The sequence below is a fragment of the Homo sapiens genome, chromosome 2 (genome assembly GCF_000001405.40).
Source record: "Homo sapiens chromosome 2, GRCh38.p14 Primary Assembly".
Classification (NCBI taxonomy): Eukaryota; Metazoa; Chordata; class Mammalia; order Primates; family Hominidae; genus Homo; species Homo sapiens.
Window position 1 is genome coordinate 80,523,297 of NC_000002.12, and position 27,936 is coordinate 80,551,232.

Consider the following 27,936-nt stretch of genomic DNA (forward strand, 5'->3'; position numbering starts at 1 on the left):
AATATGAAGTCGGTCCCGGTGCATGGAGAGAGGCAACTTTTCATAGAATAAAAAAAGATGTCTATGAGCTGTAAATTGAGAGAAGAAACTCCGTATGAATGACTGGGGCACTGGAAAGAGAAGCAAAAGGAGGAAAATGTTAGTGATTTGGTGATAATGTTAGGCCTGCGTGAAGAGAAAGTTATAAGGTAGATGGAAAGAGGAAGATAGGCTACGACAATTCCTACTGCTGATATTAAACCTAAATAACAGTATTTATGCCACCATGGGGTCTTTTCTATTGCAGTCCTGAGTGAATGATGGGGCTGGGCTCTACAGCGAGCTCGGCTCCCCTGTTGTAAGGGTGTAAGTGGTACATGGACATGCAGCCAGCAGCTTGCACACAGGAGGGGCTGGCGTCTGTTGTGTTCTCAGTATATTTCATGCTAAGGTTAATACAGAAGAGGCAGGAGATGGTCCCTGACTTTGAAAAGTTGATAATGGGGAAGGCAAGTCTTCACAGAGGACAACGTTTTAATATAACCAATCTTGATACAAATTCTTTACACTAATGTGGTAAGATTTCAGAGTAAGGGAAGATTACGTTGCCATACTTAGGGGAAATTGGTTGAGGAAGGCTTCCTAGATGATGTGAGGCATGACTTTGACCTTAGGATAGGCAGAGGTAGAAGGGTGAATCATATAAGCAAAAGCATAGCATAAGACTTTTTGCTCTTGGCGCTGAGGAGTTGTCATACCTGCCTGTGTAGTCCTGACAAAAGCATAGCTGCTGATGGGGATGACAGGCCTTCAGGAGATGTCCTGCAGGGAAATAGCTGGGGAGAGGGACTGTGGCACAGTGGGAGGAGCACTGGTTTGGGAGACAGACCATTGAATATTCCTGGCTCTGAACCTGACCATTTAGGTGATCAGGGGAGATGTACTTCACCTCCAAGTGTTCTCATCTGTAAATTAGGGGTTAGAAGAGGTACCTCATAAGATAGTATCTTGTATATCCTCCTCCACATTCCTTGTTCTCTTACCTTGAATATATAATAGTGGGTGTACGCTTTCCTTTTCAGAAGAATCTGACTCCGCCTACCTGCTCTTTCTCATTTTCTTCTGATTCATCTTCCAAACAGGTGTGCAAGTGCTCTTTAGGTGACATTTGCCCAGTGGTCACTCACCTGCTTAAAGTTCTGCCCATTGCCTACAGGTGAAAGTTGTTATAACATCTTTGGTGCTGACTTCCATCCCAGCCATATTTTCTGCTGACTCCCCTCTTGCAGACTAGTCACGTTGAACTACTTGCCAATCTCCAAATACCCCAGTCTCTTTGGCCATGGCTCACATTCTTTCTTCTTCCCTAGAATAGTCTCCCTATGCCACTAGCCCCTAATTTTTGCCATTACCTCCTTCCCCATCTTAGGGTCTGCCTTGTTGTAAGCCTAGGGACCTGTGTATCTTTGAAGCTTTTCCTAAACAACTGCCCTCATACATGCTCTCTCACACACAAAAAAATGCTCTCCACCCACTTGGTGGTCCCACTCTGACAAGCATAGATCTCTACTGTAGCACGTTTGTATTTGACTTCATTCGCTCTTTTATGGTCTGTATTATCTCATTAGATGTCTCCCCCTTGCCACCCCCACCTCATACTTTTAAGTTTTTATTTACATAGGTTTTTGGGGAACAGGTGGTATTTGGTTACATGAGTAAGTTCTTTAGTAGTGATTTGTGAGATTTTGGTGCACCCATCACTGAGCAGTATACACTTTTTTTTTTGTATGACTTCCAGAAGCTTATGTGGTGATTAATTAAATGTGGTGAGTGAGTGAATGAAGCAGAAGACAAGCAATGTCTTCTCACTCTTTCCTCCTCTGGTAGTTCCTGTTTGTGCTGGGGCAGGATTGCACAGCTAGAGTTTTTTTTTTTTAATAGCAATTTTTGCTACCCTGCCTCCCCAACACACACAGTCTCAGGACCCCTCTCCTGCCTGGTTGGATGGGCTCAGTGTGCTCAAGAGAGAATCCTTGCCTGGCAGCTGGAGTCTCATAGGGCAGGTCCCGGAAGTCTTTGGGGCCTCTTTCAATCTGAATGATCTGGATTTCCCCTTCTGTGTTGGTGATGCCCTCCCCAGTGACTGTGAAGTAAGGGAGAAATAACTACTCTGGTCAAGTTCAGCGACTCTGAATCTGATTTGGCTTGTATCTGGGTAACTCTCAGGAGCAGGACTGGCCTCAGGCAAAAAAACAAACAACAACAAAAACCCTGAATTCAGCTAAGCCTGACTTTCCAATTTCCCCCTCACCCATCTGCTCTCTACCCTCAATATCAAATGTTTGCTTTTGTTTTCTCTCCTATCGTAGCCTGTCCCTTGGAAAATGTATTTTATGCTAGGGTTTTTCTGGAGGGGCCTTGATCACACTCATCATGTCAGCTTTTCCTAAGCCCCTCTTAAGAGAGTGACTGTAACTTGAAGTTGAAAAGCTGCCTCATTGGTGCTCCATGATCTGTAAGGATAATGACTACCTTACGCGCTGGCAGGATTGCATAAGGTGCAATACGTGTGCCTGGGACCTGCAAACAGACTCCAGGTTCAAACATTGGCTCTGCCACTTATTAGCTGTATGATCTGGGCAAGCTATTAGGTTGGTTCAAAAGTAATTTCATTTTTTGCCATTGAAAGTAATGTCAAAAACCACAGTTACTTTTGCACCAACCTAATACTCTCTTAGCTTCTGGTTATTCATCTGAAAAATAAAAAAATCTGTTTAATGTTTGTGGTGAGCAATAAATGAGCATCATATAGGGATCTCTAGAATGTGCTTTGAAGTTAGGCCACTATAGTTCAAACCTGCATTTTCTCCTTACTCTGGTATGACCTCAGTAAATCTACTGAACTTCTCTGTGCCTCGATTTTCTTTTTCTTTTCTTTTTTTGAGACAGAGTCTGGCTCTGTCACCTAGGCTGGAGTGCAGTGGTGCGATCTCAGCTCACTGAAACCTCCGCCTCCCGGGTTCAAGGGATTCTCATGCCTCAGCCTCCTGAGTAGCTAGGATTACAGGCGTGCATCACCACATCTGGCTAATTTTTGTATTTTTAGTAGAGATGGAGTTTCGCCATGTTGGCCAGGCTGGTCTCGAACTCCTGACCTTGTGATCCGCCCACCTCAGCCTCCCAAAGTCCTGAGATTACAGATGTGCGTCACCACGCCTGGCTAATTTTTGTATTTTTAGTAGAGATGGGGTTTCACCATGTTGGCCAGGCTGGTCTCAAACTCCTGACCTCAGGTGATCCGCCCACATCAGCCTCCCAAAGTGCTGGGATTACAGACGTGAGCCACTGTGCCGGGCCTCTCTGTGCCTCAATTTTCTCATCTATAAAATGGGAATGATAATGACAGTACCTTCTTCGTGTGGTGTTCTGAGGATAAAACAAAAAAAGATAGAGCTTATAAAAAAGTGTTTGCACAGTTAAAACTCACACATTCCAACTCTTGCGTCATTTCAGGTGCTGTGAGAATTGAATAAAATAATATTAGAACTTTTGAAAGTACCTTAAGCACTGCATAGGTATCCAGGATTTCCTTGAATGCAAACTTCTCTAAGAATCCTGCAAGAACTATGGAGTTTTAAAAAAAATCCTTTTGTCACCCTTCTAACATTTTTTGAAATTTGGGAGGTAGTAGAATATGGTCATTGTACAAATTGTCTATGGACATGTCTGCATTTCAGGGGAAAAAATTTGAGCACTATGACACAGTTGATGGCACCACCCTGAGTGCTCAGGAGAATGTGCTTTTTGTGTCAAAACACAAGGTCTCACTCTTACCCAGAATATTCATGAAAGATGATAGTAATTAGGACTTTCTAATTAAAAGTGTCAGAAAAAATTCTCAGATAACTCACTTTCATAGAGTTGTAAGAAGTGATGACATGAGGATAATTTTTTAAAAAGAAAGCAAAGCAAGTGTAGTATGGGGGAATTCCTGTTGGCTGGACTTTAGAAAACAGGGCACTATTTGTCAAAAAGTGAAGCGTTTGTGGTAGGCCTGTGAGTCTCAGACTTGAGCATGCTTTGGAGCCACCAGAAGGGCTAAAAACACAGATGACTGGGCCCCACCCCCATAGTTTCTGATTTCTGTGTATCCGGGGTGAGGCCTGAGAATTCGCATGCCTGATAAGTTCCCAGGTGATGCTGATGCTGCTGGACTTGTGTTAGATCAGTTTTACCTGAAATCTGCTTTATCTTAAGTGGCAGCTGGGGAGTCTTTTAGAAACAGGAATTGTCAGGCCCATTGCAGAGCTCTGGAATCAGAATCTTCTGGTGAAATGTAGGTTTAGCAAGCACACCAGGTGATTCTTATGATGGGGCAAAGTTGGGAGTCATTGGGAGAGAGAGGACATCTCTGAGGCCTCTCCCTGGTTGGCCTCTATAAAGGAGAAAGCAAAGCTGATGGACCCAGACCAATGCCTTAGAAGAGAAAGAGGCACTCATTTACCTGGAAATACTCTAACTGAATTTAAAGTAAATTTAAATGAAATTTCAAATAGGGAGACAGTTCTCCACCAGGGCTGCATATTAGGATTAGCTGGAGAGGCTTAAAATGCCCACGTCTTGTCCATACACAAGGGCGAGTACATCAGAATTTATGAGTGTGGGTCCCAGGCATCAATATCTTTAATATTTCTCAGACATTTTCAGTGTGCATCCAAATTTATGAATAACAGAAATATGGAAGCTTGTAACTTGGTCTCCATTTTGCAGCAAATTAGCTGCATGACCAAGGGAAAATTTTCTTATAGAATCAATTCTTCTTGGTAAATGGATGGAGATGTGGGGCACATGAGAAAGGAAATGAGAGTTTGTTTGGAATAGATCAGTGGTTCTCAACCTTAGCTGTATTTTTGTTGTTGTTGTTTGTTCGTTTGTTTTGAGATGGAGTCTCGCTCAGTCGCCTAGGCTGGAGTACAGTGGCGTGATCTTGGCTCACTGCAACCTCTGCCTCCTGGGGTTCAAGCAATTCTCCTGCCTCAGCCTCCTGAGTAGCTGGGACTACAGGCACTCACCACCATGCCTGGCTAATTTTTTGTATTTTTAGTAGGGATGGGGTTTCACCGTGTTAGTCAGGATGGTCTTGATCTCCTGATCTCGTGATCTGCCTGCCTCAGCCTCCCAAAGTGCTGGGATTACAGGCGTGAGCCACCGTGCCCAGCCCTTAGCCATACATTTCTAACAAGCCCCCAGGTATTGCCCTTGCTACTGGCCTGTGGACAATGCTCTGGGTACCAAAGCTGCCGTCCAAACTGTCTCACACTGAAATGTGAGCCCAACTCCACACTTCAGGCATGATCATGAATCTCATGGGTTCTACCACATAGAAGGTGCAACCCCCACCAAAAAAATAAATAAATAAATAAATAAAAATAAAAATAAATTACTCATTCCAGAGAGGGCTTTTTTCTTCAAAGTAGACCCTTTGGGAGTTTTTGCCCAGATTGGAGGGCTGCTGCCTCTGACATGTTTTTACACTGATTCTTCGTGAGTCTCTAACATATTCTTTGGAACATTCTCAAACTTTGTAGCTCTTCAGTCCCTGAGGACAGATTAGACTTTTGGAAAAGCTGTATCTGGTGGAATAATGAATGGTGACATAGGGGTTATGTAAACATAAATAAACAAGTATTAAGAGATGAGAAATAAAAAGATCCTTCTCTTTGAAGAACACAACCAGAAAGGAACTTGGGAAATACGAGCAGAGATGGCTTCCTTGATCAGTGGCAAAGATTGCTGGGATTGGAGCATCTGGGGCAACTCATGTCCTGGTGGGCAGGCAGACAAACACCAGAGTAGTTTTTATAGGTATACCATCATACTTTGGGGTCAGCCAACTTTTATTGGTAAGAATAGTAACTATTTTCAGATTTGTAGGCCACATGGAGTCTCACAGATTTTTCTGTATGTAGGTGTTTTAACCGCCCTTTATAAGTGTAAAACCATTCTTAGCTTTAAAACCATACAAAAACGAGCCACTGGCTATATTTGGCCCATAGACATAGATTGTTACTCATAGTTTATAACTAAATACCAATGGAAAAGTATATCTATGTGTACATAATCTGTTGTGAAATAATAGGTATTAAGACATTTGAAAGTTAAATTTTCTGTCTTCAGGGAATGCTAAAACAATAATTGCAATTATTGCTTATTTAACTAAGCACTTACATTGATGAAGACCTCCAAATAGTTTTATAGCCCTCTTTTGTTCTCTCCCTTTCTCTAGGTGCACCTGAAAAATATTATTGGTGTTCACACAATGAGTATGCTTGCTAAACTTGGATCCCACAAAAGATTGCAGAGCCTATTTGAGGCAACAGCCTGGGGTTAAATAACGAAACAGCCAGCCTCTAGAGCACAAAACTAAACAGAAGCAAGTTACATAGAATTTCATTGCTTGCTTCTCTCTGGTACTATTAGTCAGAACACCAACTTAAGCTTTATTTCACGTAGCAGATTGAAAGGTCAGACTGGCCATTCACCCAGACTGATTCAGCGAGGGGGGTAAAAATGACCTACTGAGGATGAGAGTAAAACATTTCACTTGTAGAGAGTTGCTAAGGTGAGGCACATTTGAAGGGCACCATGGGGCTTGGCCTGCTCCTACGGGTGTTGGTTACAAGCATAACTTTGGCTCGGGGTTTGTGTACACTTCTGAAAGTGCAGCTGCGCCTTTCATCTAGAGCTAGCCATGGTCTCCTGAGAGCCTGAAGGTGAAAGCAAATGCATCTGTGGTCCACTACTGACCATGGCTCTGGACTGTGAGGGATGCATCTGCTGCCCAACAAGGCAGCAGTGGTTACTCGAAGGTCACCTTGGAAAAAAAGGGACTCCATGTGGCAGAGCCCTTTCTGAGAGGGCGTGAAATAACCCCAGGTGACGTGAAATAACCCTCCTGCCCACCCCCGGCACTGCTCTGCCCTGCTTTCTGAGCATCATGGAAATATTAGATTTCAGAGCTGAGCAAGGAGCTGTTGCAATTGCAGCCCTCAGTAGCAGTTTGTGGCCCATAAAAGGAAGAGTTGTAGGGCACTCAACAAGGGAGCTTCCAGCTCGGGAGAGACTTGTGAGAGCACTGGTTATCAATGAAAACCAGGAGGCCTTGTCAGACTGTGTATGTGTTTTGCAGGACACAGACAGGAAGAAACTAATAGTTGCAGGTATGATGAAAGTGGGGAGACCTTCCTGATGGGTTAGTGACATTAGATAGCCAGGAAACGTTGTTCATAAGTGGTATTAAGCAGAGGAGAACTTGAAGCAGGTGTCAGGAACCAGAGTATGAAGTCATATAAAGAAAGCAGAACTGGGATGAGCCTGACCACGTGGGAGGAGGATTTGAGAGTATCAGAGATGGTGCTGCAATACTTGGATGGTTTCGATAGCACTGTTTAATGAGCCTAAGACAGCAGATATGGAGAACTCTTTGATTTTTTCCCTCTCTGATGACTGAGGGATCTGGCCTACCACCTGGTCTGGGAATGGATGGGATTGCTCCCAGGGGAAAAGCATGGAAAAAGGGAGCTGTGCTTTGCACCCAAAGAAGCTTGAACTTATACACTAAGGAGAGAATTAAAACTTCATGAGAGAACATGGGGGAAAATGCAATAAAGATCTGAAAGAAAAGAAGAGGTGGCACTAGAGCTCAGGTAAGATGGAGTGAACAGGTTTGAGGGGTTGAGCTTGGAAAGAGTCCATGAGGCAATGCAGGTAATAGGAGGCAGGGGTTACAGGTTCTGAGGGCAGGGAGGGAGCTGTTAAGGGGAATGAGTTGGTTCAAAGGTCATTTCTTTAGTCAGTTCCCTGGTGCGGTCAAGGACAGCAGTCAGGTTGTCTCCCCTACCCCATATTCCCATTGCTGTGATTTACTTAGGAACCCTCTGGAGTTGTGACACAGGTTCCCAGGACTTCTCCTTCGGGCAGTAACCATTGCAGTGGCCAGACCAGGTGTTTACCAAGGGGCCAATGAGGACTAGTACCTTCTATTAGATATACTCTAGGGCTTTGTCTTGGGCTACCCATACAGACTGCTAAAGCCAGGAATGGAGCAGTAAGTGATAAGGAAGTGGATATCCAAGAAGGATACGGCCACAGATGAAAGGCTGCACAATTGGCCTCTTGGTTAGAGAGGCCTCTAGAGTGATCCTCCAGTTTCAGGAAGAGGTTGTTGATGGTGCTACATTGAGAGGTAAGCCAGATGGCAGTACTGACTCAGAATTGCTTCTCTGTTCACCTGCAAACTTCTTTTGTCAATGTTTGGGATGGTGGAGAATATCCTAGAGGTCCTTCTGGGTCTTCTGCTCCATGCCTATCTCCTCCTGGTTTTTTATTTGTTTGTTTGTTTTCTGGCCCCAGAACTTTGTGCTTTAAGGAGACCTGGGAGGGGCACATATTTTTATTCTTTAAGAACCTGTGCTTCTCCTCGATCCACTTAACTTTGATTTTACTTGTGTCATAAATACTATAAGTTGATACTTCTCTCATTTCCTGCTATGACGATGCTTTGGCATATTTGACAGGTCTGAAAAAATTAAATGGTTAAATCTCACCAAGTTTTCATCTAAACTGGGGGTTGGCAATCTTCTTCTGTAAAGGGATAGTAAGAGATCTTGGCTTGTGGGTCATATGGTCTCTGTCACAACTACCCAAATCTGCCATTGTCATGCAAAAGCAGTCATAGGCAATATGTATAAAAGGGTAAAGATGTGTTCCAATATGACTTTATTTATAGAAACAGGTGGTCAGAGGAAGAAAAGACCAAAGAACTTTTAGATAGGGTTGACAGAGTTTAAGGAAAAAACTCCTTGTCCTTATGTATTTCCCCAAAAGCCTGCCTGGGGAGCCTGAAATTTCAACAGTATATGGTAGTCCCCCCTTATCCATAGTTTTGCTTTCTGGAGTTTCAGTTACCAGTGGTCTGAAAATATTAAATGGAAAATTTCAGAAATAACTCATACATTTTAAATTGAGTGCCATTCTGAATAGCATAATGAAATCTTGCACCCTCTAGCTCCATCCACCCTGAATGTCAATCCTCCTTTGTCCAGCATATGCACTGTAGAGGCTATGTGCCCCTTCGTCACTTAGTATCCTTCTTGGTTATTAGATCTGCTGTAGAGGTATCCCAGTGCTTATGTTCAATTAACCCTTATTTTACTTAATAATGGCTCCAAAGTGCAAGAGTAATAATGCTGGGATATTTTTACAATTGTTCTATTTTATTACTAGTTATTGTCAATCTCTTACTGTTCCCAGGTTACAAATTAAACTTTATCGTAGGTATGCATGTTCAGGAAAATACATTATGTATATAGGGCTTGGTACTATTTGTGGTTTCAGGTATCTGCTGAGGTTCTTGGAAGGTATTTCCCATGGATTAGAAGGAACTACTGTTTGGTTTGTGTGTGTGTTTTTTTTAAAGCTCGAAAGGGCTCAGGAACATCTTAATTAGATTAAGGTGTTATATTACCTAGGAGAAGAAAATATGACCTTAGTGAATAGTTACTTTGATTAATCAATTAGCATCTTTTTCTAGGTAAACCAACAGCGATAAGAAAGAGCTGTACCCCAGAGGTAAGGGCAGATGGGAGCAGGAGGTAAGAAAGCACCCATGACAGGGAGGCTGCCTTGGAACTACGTTTATAGCTACTGTTTACAAGGTCTTGAACGGGGAGCCATGGGAGCCACAAGGATGAAAATAAAAATACAACCATTATCCTCAAAGATGTGGAAATTTAGTTGAAGATACATGATAGCTATGTGTGTATCTTTGATTTATACATCTAATTCCGTGTGTAGGTATCCTCCATCCATATAATAAATAATGGATAAGGCAATAGTATGTGGTAAGTTGCAATGGGTAGCACAGCCAGTAAGCCTGAAGGTGTTTGGAAGAGATCTATTTCTACTGGTTGTGTGAATGGGATGCCTTCAGCAACACGTGGATTTTGAATTGAACCTTGGAAGATTGCTAGTTTAATTGGCGGAGGCATCCCCTCCGCAAAAAAAAGAAGGCAATGTGGGACATAAACTGGGGACTCCTGACTGTTTTCCTTATTCTGTGTGAAGCGGGCTGTAGTCACAGATCCAATATTGGTTAGGATGGTTAGATTCATCCTGCATTGTGGATATGGCCTTGACTCCACACTTCCACTTGTCATCTGGAAATGTAGGAGACCAGGTTTTAGAGAATAGCTGCACTTACTTATTCATCTGGATCTTCATTCTGGAAACGTTCCTTGGCTTCCGTTAAATGTCAAGCACCGGATGGTTCAGTGCAGCCCTCCTGCATTGCCAGAGATGGATCCTGGAGTTTTCATCCTGCTAATATGCAGCCCACATATATGAAGGTCAACATGTTGTATTCACTGGAAATAAGTTGAGATTTCATTTACTTACATGAGATGCTGAAAACTAAGTAATAGTGGAGAGTTGCAAGGTTTTAGTTCCTCCATGTAAAGATGGAGAAAACAAAATCCCCTGATGCCTTTAGTAATTAAAAGGGCATTACATTCCCGGCATGGTTTAAGGTAAGACATGATAAGCCTCTCCTATCCTTTTCACATAACCACACATTATTGATGAGCCAGCATCAAGAAGGCATTAGGTGATGCTTTATTGTATTATTTTAAGCCACTGAGGTTTTTATATATGAAGGGCATAGATTTATGCTGAGTGATTCAGCTATGAAGCGGGCACATCAATTTGTTCATGAATGTGAGCTGGTGATTACCTACATTAAAGTCACCAGGGCAGACTGATCACTTTAATTTGGGCAGAGGCATGCAAACAGCATTTGCTAGTGGTGTGTGTATCCCTAAGAACACAGGCAAAAGAGCTGCTCTTCATCCCAGAAGAGCTCTAGAAAATGCAGATTTGTGTTTTTATAGATGTATAACTGTAGTCAAGGGTACAATGCCTGGTGGGACCATGAACAAATTTCTTCGTTGTACCATGTGGCAGGATGTTGTATAAGGTTCACTTGATATTAGCTGGTGTATGCTAATTTGATGATAAACTTATTTGATTAACTGATACAGAAAAGTTATACTTCCTCCTAATTCTAGATCATAGAACTGAGTGCCCTCCTATGTATGACTAAGTTATGACAAATTGAGTGGTCTTCTATACAACATGAAGAGAGTTTGTGGGAGTTAGTAAATTCAAAAAATTGGAATTCAGCAACTGTGATCCCAGATATGTGTGGAGGGGTAAAGTAGGGATTCTGTCCTGCAAGAATTCAGTCTAGCTGGGAAAATGTGAAGTGGCTACTTGAGCAATCCTGATTTGCACTTGTGGTTTATAGAACGAATAGTTAGAAGGACATTCGGATGATATGTTGGTGGAGAAGTCAAGAAGAAACAGTGTTGAGGAATATGGGATGCAATGCTGGTAGCACTGGAAAATTGGCAATTCACTTATTCCAGGGACCTTTCAGCAAGGACTATGGTCACAGGTAAACAAGTGCCATAACAATTTTCCTGATGCAGAAATTTCACTTCCGACAGGAGCAAAAACTAGATGCCTAAAGATGTGTATTACTTTGTTTTTGGTAATAGCAAACATTGGAGACTCCCCTAAATGCATGACAGCAAGGAATTAATTTACCAAACAATGAGGCAACAACATTAGGGAATCTTATTCAATAATTAAAAAATATTGGTTAGAAGTGTATATAAAATCTATAAAATATTTGGGATCTAACGGGTTGAAATAAGCAGTGACAAAAAGAATTATAACTTGAGAATTGTAACTTTATACAAAACTAAGGGGTAAACTACGCAAGTGATCACATAGAGCTCCCTTCGGTTTTTATCATTGTCTTCCCCTTGTTTCTTTTGTAAAACTCATCACAATATAAACTTTTAATGCATTACTTTGCTAAATTCTGTCTTCCCACCAAAATATAAGCTCATCTAGGGCATAAGTAATATTTTACTTGTATCTTCCATGTCTGTCATATATAGGCACTCAATATTTATTGAATGAGTGATCAATGATTGGATAATGTCATTCAAATATATTTTCACTTTTATAGTGACCTTTCAATAAATTGCATCTTATGGCGGTAACATTTGTCAAGTCATTACTGGGTGCTGGGTTAACTAATCTCTTATTGCAACATTGTAATATTTTATATTTATATTTTATAACTGAGACACAATTGAGGCTCAGAGATGCAACACGTCTCACCCAGCTGGTGAGAATAAGAGTCAGAACATAAACCCTGGGCTGCTTGACTGCAAAGGCCAGGTCTTACCAATTATGATTTTTAAAATTAAACTATATAGAATGACCAAGAGTGCCAGATGCCTTATAGAGGTCATTTAAAACAGAGGCAAGAAAAAGTGATTCCACTTCCTCCTGTCCCCCAGTGTACTTAAGCCCCCAGCTGCTGACATCCACTGAGCATCCTTCCCTGATCAAATTATCCCTGCTGTTTAAGTTTCCTCTATCCTGTAGAACTGCAGTGACTGTTAATCAGGCTGATAAACTTATGCCAGTGTGTAGCTGCTCATTTTAAAATGATTCCATAATACCTCAGCAGGAAAGCGAGACAACTCCTACAATATTCTTCTGGGCAGCCAGACTTGACTCTCCTCAAGTCCAATTTTGATGGTGGCCATTTAGCCTATTCCTATGCCCATCTTCCTGGAAGCTGATCATCGAAGGCTGAGCCTGTTTTTCTACCAGCTGCTTCTGTCTTGCCTCTCAAAGGTTTCAGGGAGGTTTATCATTTCCACTGTTATTGAATTGTGAAACTCCATCTGTATTATAGGAGTCATGTTCTGTAGGAACCTTGTGGTTCTCTAGAAGATAGGCATATATGTTAACATCTTCGTGTGTACTAATTACATCAGCACAGATAAATGAATAAACCTTCAGATGGAGACCGCAGCACTTTTCATTGTGATGATAGTTTTAGAGAAAAATGTTTTGCGTGAAATCTGTGCCACCATCCTCTCTGTGGTTTTATATGGCCACATGACTGACTATAAATTCAAGTAATTCCCCTTGAATTTATTTAAATAAATTCATTTTATTCTCAAATTTACAGTGATGATGAAATATTAACATGAGGAGCAAGTGCTTTATGGACCTTCGAATTGCTATTCTGCTTTATTTCAATAGTGTGTTCTTAAAACACCAATATGATACCTGAAGCTGTAAAAATTAATGAAATGATTCAGTGTTTGGGAGTTGAATGCAGTGAATATTTGCTGGTGTTTCAAACAGAACAGAATCACAAATATTAAAAAATGTAATTTGATTTCCGAGGCCAGAAAAAGGGAAAATGTTCTCATTTTTCTGATGTACTTCATATCACGTTGGAGTTAAATGCCTAAATACTTTATTAGCAGAGGTTTTTAATGTCTAATTGAAGCTCAGCCTTCCAGGCATTTTGGCTTTTCTTGTGAGTGTTCAAACAAGACTGTGGCTCTTTTGAGACAGAGCTGCTTTTCTGTGGCGGTGTCCACACAAAACTGAATTGTACAGCCACGATGTAGTTTATCAAGATCTGTGAGCTGTGTGGGGTTTTCTTTGTGTGATTAAAAAACATCTTGCCTTTTTAAATGGTCACTATACATTTTACTTTAACTTCTGGGATACGTGTGCAGAATGTGCAGGCTTGTTACATAGGTATACATGTGCCATGGTGGTTTGCTGCACCCATCAACCCATCATCTAGGTTTTAAGCCCCACATGCATTAGGTATTTGTCCTAATGCTTTCCCTCCCCTTGCATCCCACCCCCTGACAGGCCCCAGTGTGTGTTGTTCCCCCTCCCTGTGTCCATGTGTTGTCATTGTTCAACTCCCACTTATGAGTGAGAACATGCAGTGTTTGGTTTTCTGTTCCTGTGTTAGTTTGCTGAGAATGATGGCTTTCAGCTTCATCCATGTCCCTGAAAAGAACATGAACCCATTCTTTTTTATGGCTGCATAGTATTCTGTGGTGTATATGTGCCATATTTTCCTTATCAAGTCTATAATTGATGGACATTTGGTTGGTACTATGCCTTTGCTATTGTAAATAGTGCTGCATTAAACATATGTGTGCATGTGTCTTTATAGTAGAATGATTTATAATCCTTTGGGTATATACCCAGTAATGGAATTGCTGAGTCAAATGATATTTCTGGTTCTAGATCCTTGAGGAATAGCCACACTGTCTTCCACAATGGTTGAACTAATTACACTCCCACCAACAGTGTAAAAGCGTTCCTTTTCTCCACAGCCTCGCAAGCATCTGTTGTTTCCTGACTTTTTTTTTTTTTTGAAACGGGGTTTTACTTTTGTTGCCCAGGCTGGAGTGCAATGGCATGATCTCAGCTCACTGCAACCTCTGCCTGCTGGTTTCAAGCAACTCTCCTGCCTCAGCCTCCTGAGTAGCTGGGATTACAGGCATGTGCCACCACACCTGGCTAATTTAGTATTTTTAGTAGAGGTGGGGTTTCTCCATGTTGGTCAGGCTGTTCTCGAACTCCCGACCTCAGATAATCCACTCAACTCGGCCTCCCAAAGTGCTGGGATTACAAGCATGAGCCACCACACCCGCCCTGTTTCCTGACTTTTTAATGATCGCCATTCTAACTGGCATAAGATGATATCTCACTGTGGTTTTAATTTGCATTTCTCTAATGACCAGTGATGATGAGCTTTTTTTCATATGTTTGTTGGCCGCATAAATGTCATCTTTTGAGAAGTCTCTGTTCATATCCCTTGCCCACTTTTTGATAGGGTTGTTTTTTTCTTGTAAATTTAAGTTCCTTGTAGATTCTGGAAATTAGATCTTTGTCAGATGGGTAGATTGCAAAAATTTTCTCTCATTCTTTAGGTTGCCTGTTCACTCTGATGCTAGTTTATTTTGTTGTGCAGAAGCTCTTTAGTTTGATTAGATCCAATTTGTCAATTTTGGCTTTTGTTACTATTGCTTTTGCTGTTTTTTAGTCGTGAAGCCTTTGCCCATGCCTATGTCCTGAATGGTATTGCCTAGGTTTTCTTCTAGGGTTTTTATGGTTTTGGGTTTTACATTTAAGTCTTTAATCCATCTTGAGTTAATTTTTGTATAAGGTGTAAGGAAGGGGTCCAGTTTCTGTTTTCTGCATATGACTAGCCAATTTTCCCAGCACCATTTATTAAATGGGGAATCCTTTCCCCATTGCATGTTTTTGTCAGGTTTGTCAAAGATCAGATGGTTATAGGCATGTGGTGTTATTTCTGAGGTCTCTGTTCTGTTCCATTGGTCTATATGTGTGTTTTGGTACCAGCACCATGCTGTTTTGGTTACTGTAACCTTGTAGTACAGTTTGAAGTCAGGTAGCCTGATGCCTCCAGCTTTGTTCTTTTTGCTTAGGATTGTCTTGGCTATACAGGCTCTTTTTTGTTTCCACATGAAATTTAAAGTAGTTTTTTCTAATTCTGCAAAGAAAGTGAATGGTAGCTTAATGGGAATAGCATTGAATCTATAAGTTACTTTGGGCAGTATGGCAATTTTCACGATACTGATTCTTCCTGTCCACGAGCATGGACTGTTTTTCCATTTGTTTGTGTTCTCTCTTATTTCCTTGAGCAGTGGTTTGTAGTTCTCCTTGAAGAAGTCCTTCACATCCCTTGAAAATTGTATTCCTAGGTATTATTTTATTATCTTTGTAGCGATTGGGTCACAATGTATTTTTATGAGGGATGCATATGTTTGTTTTTTGAGATGCAGTTTCACTCTGTTGCCCAGACCAGAGTGGAGTGGAGCGATCTCGGCTCACTGTAACCTCCACCTCCTCAGTTCAAGCAATTCTTGTACCTCAGCCTCCTGAGTTATTTTTGTCAATTTTTAACTGTCTTATCAGGAATATTGTCACTCTGCTTTTGGCTTCCTGAGGTGATTATTAAAGAGTTACAGGATAGATGCCAATTGTAATACAAATTCAATTAATGGAGTTAAGTTACTTTCTTCAAAAAATAGGCATAGGCTCTCCTTGCTTTTTTTTTTTTGTTGTTGTTGTTGTTGTTCTTTCTAGTTCTGCTAATGATATTGTTAATGTTAAGTATTCATGTACTTACAAAGTGTGCCCAGAAGAGCCAAAAAAAAAAAAAAAGTTATATTCATTGAGCATCTAGAAAGTAGTGCTAAACAGGCAATCGTAAAATAAATCTTGCAGGATGGATAGTTTACCTCTCCATGATATGTTTACTGATTCCACTTAGCAGCACTGGTCTCTTCTTTTTCTGTAATCCTAAAGTTTTTGGGGTCAGCAGCACACAATTTAATGATGGCTGCTAAGCTTCCTCCTTTCCCTCAAGATAACTGGTTTTAAGGTACTAAGTCAGAGAAAGACTGGCCTAGTCTTCTCAGCTTTTACTTCCCCAGATCCATTATGCTCTCAGAAGTTAAGAAGGAGAGCTTTCCTTTCTAACAGATTGGTAGGTATTTAGTACAATTAGATCACCAACGAGCTCTACCACCTATAGTCATGACCTATTCCACTTTCAGAAATCCCAGATCAATCTAAATTGCTCAAAATTTAATACTTAATGAAATGCTTTATTGTTTTCTAAGCTTCCAGGAAGGCGATTAAATCTTGTGGCTTCAGTTAAGTTGTAAATAATTCAAGAGTGGAGAAGGCAGAGGCGGGGCCCAGTTGAGCAAGTATATCCCATAAACATTTCCTGCTTGGTTGCATCAAGCAAGTTTCAAAATTCTATCAGATTTAATTGTATTGTTCAACATCTTTGGGGTTGCAATGTATTGATGATATATTGTCTGCTTTTTCACTCACATTAATCTTTTCAAGTGTCTAGTAATTCCAGTCCACCATTCCTTTCCTCCTCCATACTTCCCCTTATCACCCTTTATCATGAGAAACTGACCATGTAGGAGAAAATATTAGCTTTGAAAAAATAGGACATTTACTTTACCACAGTTTCTGATGTTGTAACAGATATCTAGTTAAAGAACAGGTTGTTGAAATCAATTATCAGATACTGGCAGGTGTGGTGGCTCATGCCTGTAATCCTAGCACTTTGGGAGGCCGAGGCAAGTGGATCACTTGAGGCTAGGAGTTCGAGACCAGCCTGGCTAGCATGGTGAAACCCCATCTCTACTAAAAATACAAAAATTAGCCAGGCGTAGTGTTGGGTGCCTGTAACCCCAGCTACTGGTGAGGCTGAGACAGGAGAATCACTTGAACCTGGGAGGTGGAGGTTACAGTGAGCTGAGATCTTGCTGCTGCACTCCAGCCTGGGCAGCAGAATGAGACTCCATCTCAAAAAAAAAAAAAAATCAATTTTGAGATACCTACTGTGTATAGTTATCTTGGACTGATGTTTTTGAGGTTGAGGTGTTAGCTGGCATTTCAAGCTATATTATTTTTTTCTTTTTTGGAGATGGAGTCTCTCTCTGTCACCCAGGCCACAGTGCAGTGGTGTGATCTCAGCTCACTGCAAACTGCGCTTCCCGGTCTCAAGCGATTCTCCTGCTTCAGCCTCCTGAGTATTTTGGATTACAGGTGTGTGCCACCACACCCTGGCTATTTTTTGTATTTTTAGTAGAAATGAAGTTTTGCCACATTTCCCAGGCTGGTCTTCAACTCCTGGCTTATTAGGAGCCTCAGCCTCCCAAATTGCTGGGATTATAGGCGTGAGCCACTGCATCTGGCCCAAGCTACATTATTGATTGGGGACTGCCTCAAGCTATGAAGCTAAGGATCATTTGCTGATGAAATTCTAGAAATCAAAATATATAAAACCAAGTTGATAGTCACCACTGGGCCATTGGGTCCAGTGAGAAGCAGAGAAAGACAAGCCAAAAGAAAAAAGGGAAGGTAGGGATTTGGATAGAGCCCATGACCAACTTAAAATATGTAAGCCTGCCTCTGAAGATACTGAAATCCTTAGCATCATATTGGAAATATTTTCAGAATGTTTCCAAAGAAAATACAAGGTGAATGAAATTCTGGGTTTTAAGTGGAATTAAATAGCAGGAGTACGTTGCAGAGTATAGGCTGCCAGACTTTAGGATTTATGGATCAGTACAATTAAAGAGAATAAATAACTGGAGGACTATCAAGAGGTGCCAGCTCTTTATTTTTGCCAAGCATTGCTAGCTTGGTTTCCCCCTACTAAGATTCTGTTGGGTGAGGAGTTAGGCCTAAGGAATAATAGAGTTTAATTTAAACAAAAGATGAGAAAACAGTTCAAAAGATACACAAAGAAAAGTTTATTTTCACTATGTGGAAGTTACTAGTTAGCGTTTCCTTCTGTTAGAGTCCAGCTCTTCTGAGCTCTAAGTCCCACAGGGTCGACTTCTGCCAGGTGACTCGCAGTCAGCATAAGTGGGAAGCTCTGCGATCTGGGGAGCTATGCTGTGACTGACAGAGTCCAGTTACAGCACTCTTCATTTGTGCTCAGGTAGGTACCCTCTACTGTCTGCAAGTCTCAACTCCAAACCACACTCAGGTTTCCCTAGCTTACACTGTGCTCCCTGGAGACACGCACAGATGCAAGAAAGTGTTTTCCAGAGCTGTTGATATAATACTTTGTGGCTGCTACTTTTTTTCTAAATGTTTTTTAATATGGAAAATGCTAAGCATATCCCAAAGTAAAGAATGTGTAATGAACCATCATACACTGTCACTCAGCTTCAACAATTATAAACTAATGGCGAATCTTGTTTTTTCTACATTTCTACCCATTTCCCCAACCCCAGATAATTGTGAAGCAAATTCCAAACATCAGTTCATCAATAAACATCTTGATTATATAGCTCTAAAAGCTATAGATTCTTTTTAAAAAAAAAGTACCATTAGCATGCTTTAAAATAATAATAACTCCTCAGTATCATCAAATGTCTAGTTAATATTTAAATTTCCTTGATGGTTTCATAAATGTAGTCTTATTTACTTATTTATTTACATATTTATGTGTATATATATATTATAGTTTGTTTTTTCTATTCAGGACACAAATGAGATCTATGTCTTTTTTCCAGCAGTTTTTAACCATCAGGATTTTTATGATTGCATGTATGTACTTTTATTTTACATGTTTCTTTTCCTCTTGAATTTTCTGTAAATTGAAAATTGATCCTAAATGGCTGACCTTTTCTTTTTTTGGCAAGAATATTTCATGGACAGTGGTATGTCACTCAGTCAAGAAACACATGATCTCTGGTTGTCACTCTTTCTTTTTTTAATGTTAACCACTGATGACTTGGTCTGGATCCATTATTTCATTAAGCGTGTTGGTATTTTCTTATGCTTTTTACAGAAATGCAAATAATTACCTGATTCTTGGGGCATTTTTAAGTTTTCATATTGTTGTGCTAAACTCTAGCAATTATTCACTGTTTGCAAAAGTGTGATCTCAAGTCTTTTGCACAGCAAGCAGGGATGGTACGGGGCAAAAACAGCCATCATCTAAAATTATCACTATTTCATAGAATGAGAGGTTGTTCAAAAGCAGATATAGGAAAAATTTAATTGAATATTAAAAGGTAGAACTTTAAATACATATATCTTTCTAGAAGATTCTCCACTATCCTGATTTTTTCCCCCCCCCACATGCCACTTTGGACAGGGGAAGCTGCATTCTGGACTCGTACCACAGATCAGAATGTAGGAACCATTGGTTAACACCATAACATTGGTTAACATCTGCTAGAAGGTGAACATTTGTCTTGCCAAATTAAGGGTGAAGCTCAACTGTATTTTTGAGGGCACCATTTATCCATTGTGTATTCCAAATTACTGTCTACAATAAGTTACACTAAGTTTACAAGCTATTGTTTAATTTATTAAATAAACATGTACAAAACACCAATTCTGTGTCATGCACTGAGTCAGGCACTTGGATTGTAAAATGAACCAGAATATAGAATACAGATGTAACAAAGATGAATAAAAATGTGGAGAGAAGACATTATGATATAACAAAGAAATTGAAGTTAAGAGACCTGCATCGTTGGTTCCTGCCCCACATCTAAGAACCTTCCTGCCCATGGCATGCAGTATCTGTGAATGGTCCTAATGAGGCATATGTCTTTTCACACTTATTTTGAAAACTAAGTAAAATAATGAAAATCAAAGGTAAACTATAAACTATAAGAAATTAAATGGTAATGTTTGAATTCACTTGTCATAATTTCTCCTAGTACATTTTCTCACTGAAATAGCTATAATGCATCCTCTTTCTCCCTTAAAAACTCCAAAACCCTATTCTTTACACTAATGGTTTATTGAAGTAATCTTTAAAAGTATTCTATCACCCTCAACCCATCTCATGTTGCTGATAAGGAAGCAGCAATCTAAAATGTGAAGTGACTTATAAAGATGCCCAGTGGTTGAACTTCCTGATCTCCAGGCCTGTACTCTTCTCACTATGTCATACTGCCTAAGGTTTCTTTCACATTAGGAACTATAAGCATGGGTGGTACATTCTAAAATCCTAGGGCATTCAGGAATGGGAGGAGAGCAGCCCAGTTTTGGAGACTAAACATAAGCAGGATACCAAAAAGGCAGGCGGCCACAAGACTCCAGGGATTCTGTCTGCTAATCACTTGTTCTGTTTGCTCCATAGCTCCTACCCCTTGCTGTCCTTCTCCTCTTCTTTGACTTTTCATATCCCCATTCTTGTGTTGTCTTGATACCAGCCTGATGGGACTGATTGGTCTTTTGATGGTGGCTTTGTGGCTGTTGACCTTGGCTAATCAATCTCACCTTGAATTACCAACTCTCCTTCAAGAGAAGGAATAACAACAAGTTGACCCCCTTGACCTGGGAACTTGAATTCAGTCCAGCTGTTTGGGGTAGCATAGTGTTCCTAAAAATCAAATTTGAATGTCTTGCTTCCCCTTCCCTCCTTGGTTCCTGGCCCCATCCATCTTCAGAGCCAACTGTTTGAAGACGGAAGGGGCCAGGAACCAAGGAAGAGGGGAAAAGAAGACATTCAAATTTGGGCCAGGAACCAAGGAGGGGGAAAAAAAAAACTGTTGGCTTTGAAAATGGAAGGTGCCAGAAAACAAGGAGGCCATCAAATTTGAATGTCTTTATACTAGATCTGCACATTGTAATTTACTATATATTCCGCCATTGTGTATTGAATGCTACGAGCCTTTTTGTTACATTGCTCATAACAGCTGGCCTCTAATAATATTTGAGTTGGCTATTAGTGGACTAAAATTTTCAGGCAGATCGGGTATTTTGGGGGCAGGGCACCATAATTGTCAGCTTACTATGAGTCTCTCAAGCCCAAATAATTGCCTGTAGCATTCTTCTCACTCAACTCTACAGGGTCAGAACTGAGTACTGATATGGCCGAGATCACAGGGTTTTGCATTTTGATGTTGAGTCTTAGGAGGCTCCAGAGAGTGTAGGCGGATCAAGGCAGTTCATAAGAAAAAACAGTTCATAAAACCCTGTTAAAACACAACCTTGTATATGCTTGAGAGTCGTGAAATGCCTTTTCTGACAGAAATGCCTAAATTAGCATAAGAAGTAGTACTAGTTGGTTCTACATGAAGGCCAGGGTACCCTTATCTTATTTCTGAAAGAATTCTCCTGGAAGAGACATCTGCCAGAGAAGGTCCAAGGCGGAGCAACAGTATACTTTCCCTTTGCCCCAACCTAATATTCACTAAAATCCTCTTCAATACAGGTTGCCAATTTGGCCTGTTCCATCTCCAACAATGAAGAAGGGGTGAAATTAGTTCGGATGGCAGCCACCCAGATTGACAGCCTGTGTCCCCAGGTAAGCCTCATTCACTTTGTTTCAAAAGCCTGTCAGTGACCTTCTCCACTCCAGCCCTTGTGCCCCTCCTTTTCCTTCTCTATTTCCTCTTGCTGAAAAAGGCTACTCATCATTTATGAGCTGTTTCAAGTTCTACCTTTCTCAGAAAGAATAAACCATACCAGTCTCTTCAGAATTACCATGGCAGCTTGGCCAGGCATGGTGGCTCACACCTATAATCCCAGTGCTCTGGGAGGCTGAAGTGGGAGGATTGATTGAGGCCAGGGGTTCAAGGCCAGCCTGGGCAACATAGTGAGACTCCATCTCTACAAAAAAATAAACTAGCTGGGTGTGGTGGGGGCATTCCTGTAGTCCCAGTTTACTGGGGAGTCTGAGGTGAGAGGATTGCTGGGGCTCAGGAGTTCGAGGCTGCAGGGAGCTGGGATTGTGCCACTATACTCTCCACTCCTGTTGACTTTGTTCTATTTGTTTTGGGTTGTGATTTAAATGTTCCATATCTATTTACCTTGTCTCGGCAGCTAAATCATAAACTTGCACATGTGGAAAGCAAGAGTTGCATTTCTGCTGTATCTGTGCTAAGTCATGAGACTTGTCCAGTAAATACTTTTTGAAACCCGAGGCAAACTATTATGTCTTAAAAAGAAGCAAACAAAAATTAATGGTAGTTGAAAATCTCCTTTATCTTTTATGTGTTTGATTGTCCTTCTGAACACCAAGAACCCACTTATCTGTAGAACGTACAGGGTGCATGGTTTTAACATGGTCTTTGACCGGCTTATTCCTCTTTTGAAGTGTGTGGTCATCATGTCCCTGGATTGTTTCCAACAAATAGGTCATCAATGCCGCTCTGACACTGGCTGCCCGGCCACAGAGCAAAGTTGCTCAGGATAACATGGACGTCTTCAAAGACCAGTGGGAGAAGCAGGTCCGAGTGTTGACAGAGGCCGTGGATGACATCACCTCAGTGGATGACTTCCTCTCTGTCTCAGGTAATCATCACAAACAGGTCCCTTACAAGGCAGCTGGAGGAGGGTAACTGAACGAGATAAGGAATGTCTCGCAAATGTCATGGATCTGTGTTTCAGGCGCACTCCTTAGATCTTTGAGCTTTTTTGATCATCTCTGCAAATGTGATTATAACACCCTCTTAGATGCTTCGGTGTTTATGTTATTTCAAGACACGGAGTCAAGGCATTAAAAAGGAATACATTATTTAAGGTGGCTTATATTCCTTTTTAGTGTTTGGAGTTTATAAAGCAGGATGGCCTTTGATGTATCTGAATCACTCATGTAAAAAAGGGCCAGGGAATATGGGATTCATTAATCTACACAGTTTATGTCTTAAAAATAGGTGATCAGTTACTCCAATTTGGCTATGTTAAGTTTTGTTTTGTTTTGTTTTTTTTCCAACAAGTGAAGGTTTGTGATAACACAGGTAGAGATATCAGCCACAGAACTTACCCCTTAGCAGGGACTTGGTAGCTATCAAGGCTTTGAGCACTTGTCTATGAGGTTGTAGAAGGAAGCGAGTGAAAGAAAATAGAACTGCTCATCACTTGAAATTATAACTTTCTTCTTTGTAAATGAAGCCAGACTGGAGGATGCTAGTAGACATGAATAACTGCAGAGACAGTCTGACCTTTAACAGGACTCGTGGAGTCCATTTCAAGATTTGTCTACCAGCCAGCAAATGGACATTTTTCCAAATGCTTTTGACCTAACTTATTTGGCCCAGTTCACCTGGAAGAATCTCTGTGAGGAGGAGGTCACTGGAAACATCAGCCTTCTTTGTGAGGTGTTAAAAGAGCCAGCTGACCCTTGGAAATTCAAATTGGCCAGGTGTTGATTCTACACAGGTGTGTGGAACTCACACCTACTGACTCAGGCAGTACTAGCCCTGATGACCTGCTGGTTCTTGGCTGACTGAGGGCTGAGGGAGACATTGCATCACTGTTGGTGGGAACCAGGCAGACAGGACCTCTGACTGCAACAGTGTGGAAGTGATTTCTGAGGGGGGCTGTCATGTTTAGAAAATGTTTCTAGTTGCAGTCTTTTCTTTTCCGGAAGAAACATAATAAATTCCCACTGGGGCTTGTCTGAGAACTGTGTAGTCAAATCTGTAGATTTGATGGATAATCAAAAATCCAGCTTTTCAATGATGGGGCAAGCCAAGGCAGATGGGAACATTGATGTAACATGCGGCCTGTGACTAGAATTTACCTTACTCTCTGCTGCTTGATTTAATTCTCATCAAAATTCTATAAAATAGGTACTACTAATTCTAGGTTTTGTTTTAAGAAAACTAAGTCATTGAGAGGGTAGGTAACTTGGCAGAGATGGTATTAAAATCCAGATCATCCTCTTTTCAGAAACTCTATAATTCTCAATATGTCAAGATAGAAAGGAAATTTCCTTTGGTGCTTGCTGCTTTCATTTCAGCTTCCCTTTCCCACCTCTGGCATTCTCATTCCAATCTCTAATCCCTTTCAGAAACCTGTCTTGTTTTTTATTCCCAAGGTCTTTGTTTTTGATGACTTGTGAAAGCAACTATTCATTTAAATATCACCATATCTAGAGCTTAGCTGATAAAAGAACTCAATATATTGTCACTTCTGCTTTTTTTTTTTTTTTTGAGATGGAGTTTCACTCTTGTTGCCCAGGCTGGAGTGCAATGGCGCGATCTTGACTCATAGCAACTTCCGCCTCCCGGATTCAAGCTGTTTTCCCGCCTCAGCCTCCAGAGTAGCTGGGATTACAGGCGTGAGCCACTATGCCCGGCTAATTTTGTATTTGTGGTAGTAGAGACGGGGTTTCTCCGTGTTGGTCAGGCTGGTCTCAAACTCCGGACCTCAGGTGATCCGCCCGCCTTGGTCTCCCAAAGTGCTGGTATTACAGGCGTGAGCCATCGCGCCCAGCCCATTTCTGCTTTTTTATTTTTATTTTTTGCTTTGCTGATAGCTGAGTCCTAATCTTGTAAAAGATACCTCCACAAAATGAATCTCTCATAAGGTATTTGGAAATTGCTTAGATAGGTATGTTCGTAATTTGGTTGATGGGGAATAGAAAGGTGGCCACTGATACTAATCTTTATAGTATATGGTCAGTTTTTTTCCAGGATAACTATGGTGCTCCAAATAGGAGCCCTTTCCAACCAGCCTCAGATCACACAGCCATCCTGACAGCCCCTGGAAATCTTCTGCATCCCCTTCTACCTTCAAATCAATAGGAAATACCTATACATTGCCTTTTTCAGAGAGGAATCATTTTAGAACTTACAACTTTTCCAACCTATTCTTTAAATGCATGCATAAACATTTCTGAGGGTGGGGACAAGCAAGGTGAGGAGGTCTTATCTCAGACTTTTTCAATAGGACAAAGCTTTTGCTAATTTTCCTCCCCCGAGCCCTGCCTCTTTGCTCCCTTTTCTCCTTGTCATTCCTTTGTGCATCTCATTATTACCAGCAACAAGAAAAGGCTTTTGCTTCTGCTGATAACACTGTGCAGTCCAACCCCAGTGGTACAAGTGCCACGGCATGCCATGGCAGGAAAATGAACAGGCGCTGTCAGAGAGCCAGCTTGGCAGGGCCTGCTGGAGCATGCCTTTGGAGTTGACAATCAGAGGCAGCAGGCACCTTTCCGCAGACGGGGTTTGACAAATAATGATACAGCCCACTCTGTCCTGCTGGTAGGCTGTGGACACAGCCCAATAGCTAGGGAAACTACTTCTCATCTTCTCTCTGAGCTACAGCCAAACATTTACATAAGTAAACTGCAAGTTTGGCCCAAGAGATATTTTGAAGTGGCATTAATGATATTTTATGTATCAGTTTCTTCTTAGGGGAATATCTCTTTGGTCAGGAAACTCTATTTAAAAAACAATAAAAACAGATCTTTGTTTTTAAAAGATTGTAGTTTTTTTAATGCTACCCTAACTTCTGTATCTGATATTAAATTTGTCCATATGAAATGCAACAAGTTTGGGGAGCAATGATGCTAGCTATTAACATTACAGGAGCAAAACCAATTTTAAGATGTGGCCTATGCACATAAAAAAGTGAAATGACTGTGTGATAACAGTCAAACTTTTTCCCACTTTGGAAAACCTACAATTTTTAATAGTATTTTAAAATAAGCATCTTGGCATTAATCATGTGACAGTTTAATTCTTGGATTTGGCTCACAAAGTAGTAGGAAGCTAAGATCTGAAAAAGCTATTAACTTGATCTCATAATGCCCAAGAGTTTTGCTTTTTAACTTTTCCTATTTTTTTTTAACTCTACAGTCTTAAGTTTATTTTCTTTTAAAAATTCACCGTGAACTTTATTGCTTTGAATCTGTAGCCTTATGGTTTACAACAGTCAAATAGTTTGGTCATCACTGATTTTTTTTCATAACAAAATTATATCATTTCTAAAATAGTAATGTTGCCAAATATAAGGAAGTTTACAATAAAATATGTTGCAATCAAATGTTTCATGACATGTTTAAATACCACACTTGATATTAGAGTGTGCCACCCAAACATTGCAGTTTTTCACAGCAATGGAATAATCTCTAGGATACTTTTGCCTTTTATTACTATTTTCATCTCTTTTCCTTTCTAGTTGCAACATTCCTCTCTCTCTTTACTTCATGAATTCTTTCTCTTCAAAACACCTCAGAATAAAAGTGTGTAATTGATCGCCCCTTCTCAATGGGCATGTTCATTCAGTGTCTGTCTTTTGATTGCCTGCTGCCTATAGGCCACTGTCAGGAATGCAAATGTGAATGAAGTGTGTATTCTGCCTTTAAATAATTGACTGCCCTCCTTGATATATACTAGATTAGCGTGCTTACTAACTGTTAAGTCCTAGACCTGAAGGCACAGGGTATGGGGGTGAGGAAGTTATTACAGGGGGTTCAAAAATCCATATATACACCAAGTATGGTCTTCTGACCAAAAAGTTCATGTTCATGTCTATGTAAACAGGTATGGCTTTTTTCCAAACACAGGCAAACCTCGAACGTATTGCTGGTTCTGTTCCAACTACTGCAGTAAAATGCCAATTGCAATAAGGTGAATCATACAAATCTTTTTTGATTCCCAGTGCATATAAGTTATGTTTACAGTGCAGTGTAGTCCATTAACTGTGCAGTAGGATTATGTTTAAAAACTGTACATACCTTTATTTAGAAATACTTCATTTCTAAAAAATGCTAAAGATCATTCTGAGCCTTCAGCCAGCCATAATCTCTTTGATGGTAGGGGGGGTTTCCTTGATGTTGATCAGAGTGGTGGTTCCTGTGTGGTTCCTGAAGGATGGCGTGGCTGTGGCAATTTCTTGAAGTAAGATAACAATGAAGTTTGATGCGTTGATTGACTATTCCTTTACAAAAGATTCTCTGTAGCATGTGAGATGCTGTTTGACAGCACTTTATCCACAGTAGAACTTCTTTCAAATTGGAGTCAGTCCTCTCAAACTCTGCTGCTGCTTTATGCACTACATTTATATAATATTTTAAATCCTTTGTTGTCATTTCAACAATGTTCACACTATCATAGCTAGGGATAGATTACATCTCAAGAAGCCGCTTTGCTCATACATAAGCAATTCCTCATCCATGAAGTTTGATCATGACATTGCAGATTCAGTCACATCTTTAGGCTCCACTTCTAATTCTAGTTCTCTTGCTATTTCCACTAGATAAGCACTTTCTTCCTCCACTGAAGTCTTGAACCCTTCAAAGTCGACTATGAGGGTTGGGATCAACTTTTTCCAAACTCCTGTTAATGTTGATATTTTGACTTTCTCCGGTGAATCAATCATGGATGTTCTTAGTGGCAACTAGGATGGCGAATTCTTTCCAGAAGGCCTTTAATTTACTTTGCCCAGATCCATCAGGAGAATCACTATCTATTGCAGCTATAGCCTTAAAAAGTGAATTTTCTAAATAATAAGACTTGAAAGTCAAAATGACTCCTTGATACATCTGCTGCAGAATAGATGTGTTAGCAAGCAGGAAAGCACTATTAATCTCTGTGTATATCTCCATCAGAGCTCTTGGGTGACCAGGTGCATTTTCAATGAGCAATAACATTTTGAAAAGAATTATTTTTATTCTGAACAGTAGGTTTCAAGAGTGGACTTGAAATATTCAGTAAACCATGCTATAAACAG

The 27,936-nt window shown here is 40.7% G+C and overlaps 1 protein-coding gene across 15 annotated transcripts in view, besides 2 other annotated features; it reads left to right on the forward strand.

The window, feature by feature from the left end:
- Positions 1 to 27,936, forward strand: part of CTNNA2 (catenin alpha 2) — a 1,463,404-nt gene that overhangs the window by 1,337,920 nt on the left and 97,548 nt on the right. For all 15 annotated transcript variants that reach the window (NM_001399737.1, XM_024452714.2, XM_011532556.3 and 12 more), the window contains 2 exons: positions 21,686 to 21,778; positions 22,611 to 22,767. In NM_001399737.1, the coding sequence (NP_001386666.1) occupies positions 21,686 to 21,778; positions 22,611 to 22,767 (250 nt within the window). The remainder of the gene's footprint in view (positions 1 to 21,685; positions 21,779 to 22,610; positions 22,768 to 27,936) is intronic.
- Positions 6,602 to 6,651: a silencer, noted in NCBI's record as "silent region_11685". NCBI's record gives its function as "represses an Ori minimal core promoter by ATAC-STARR-seq in GM12878 lymphoblastoid cells {active_cell/tissue: GM12878}" and the evidence as "EXISTENCE:reporter gene assay evidence [ECO:0000049][PMID:35858748]".
- Positions 7,112 to 7,241: an enhancer, noted in NCBI's record as "active region_16095". NCBI's record gives its function as "activates an Ori minimal core promoter by ATAC-STARR-seq in GM12878 lymphoblastoid cells {active_cell/tissue: GM12878}" and the evidence as "EXISTENCE:reporter gene assay evidence [ECO:0000049][PMID:35858748]".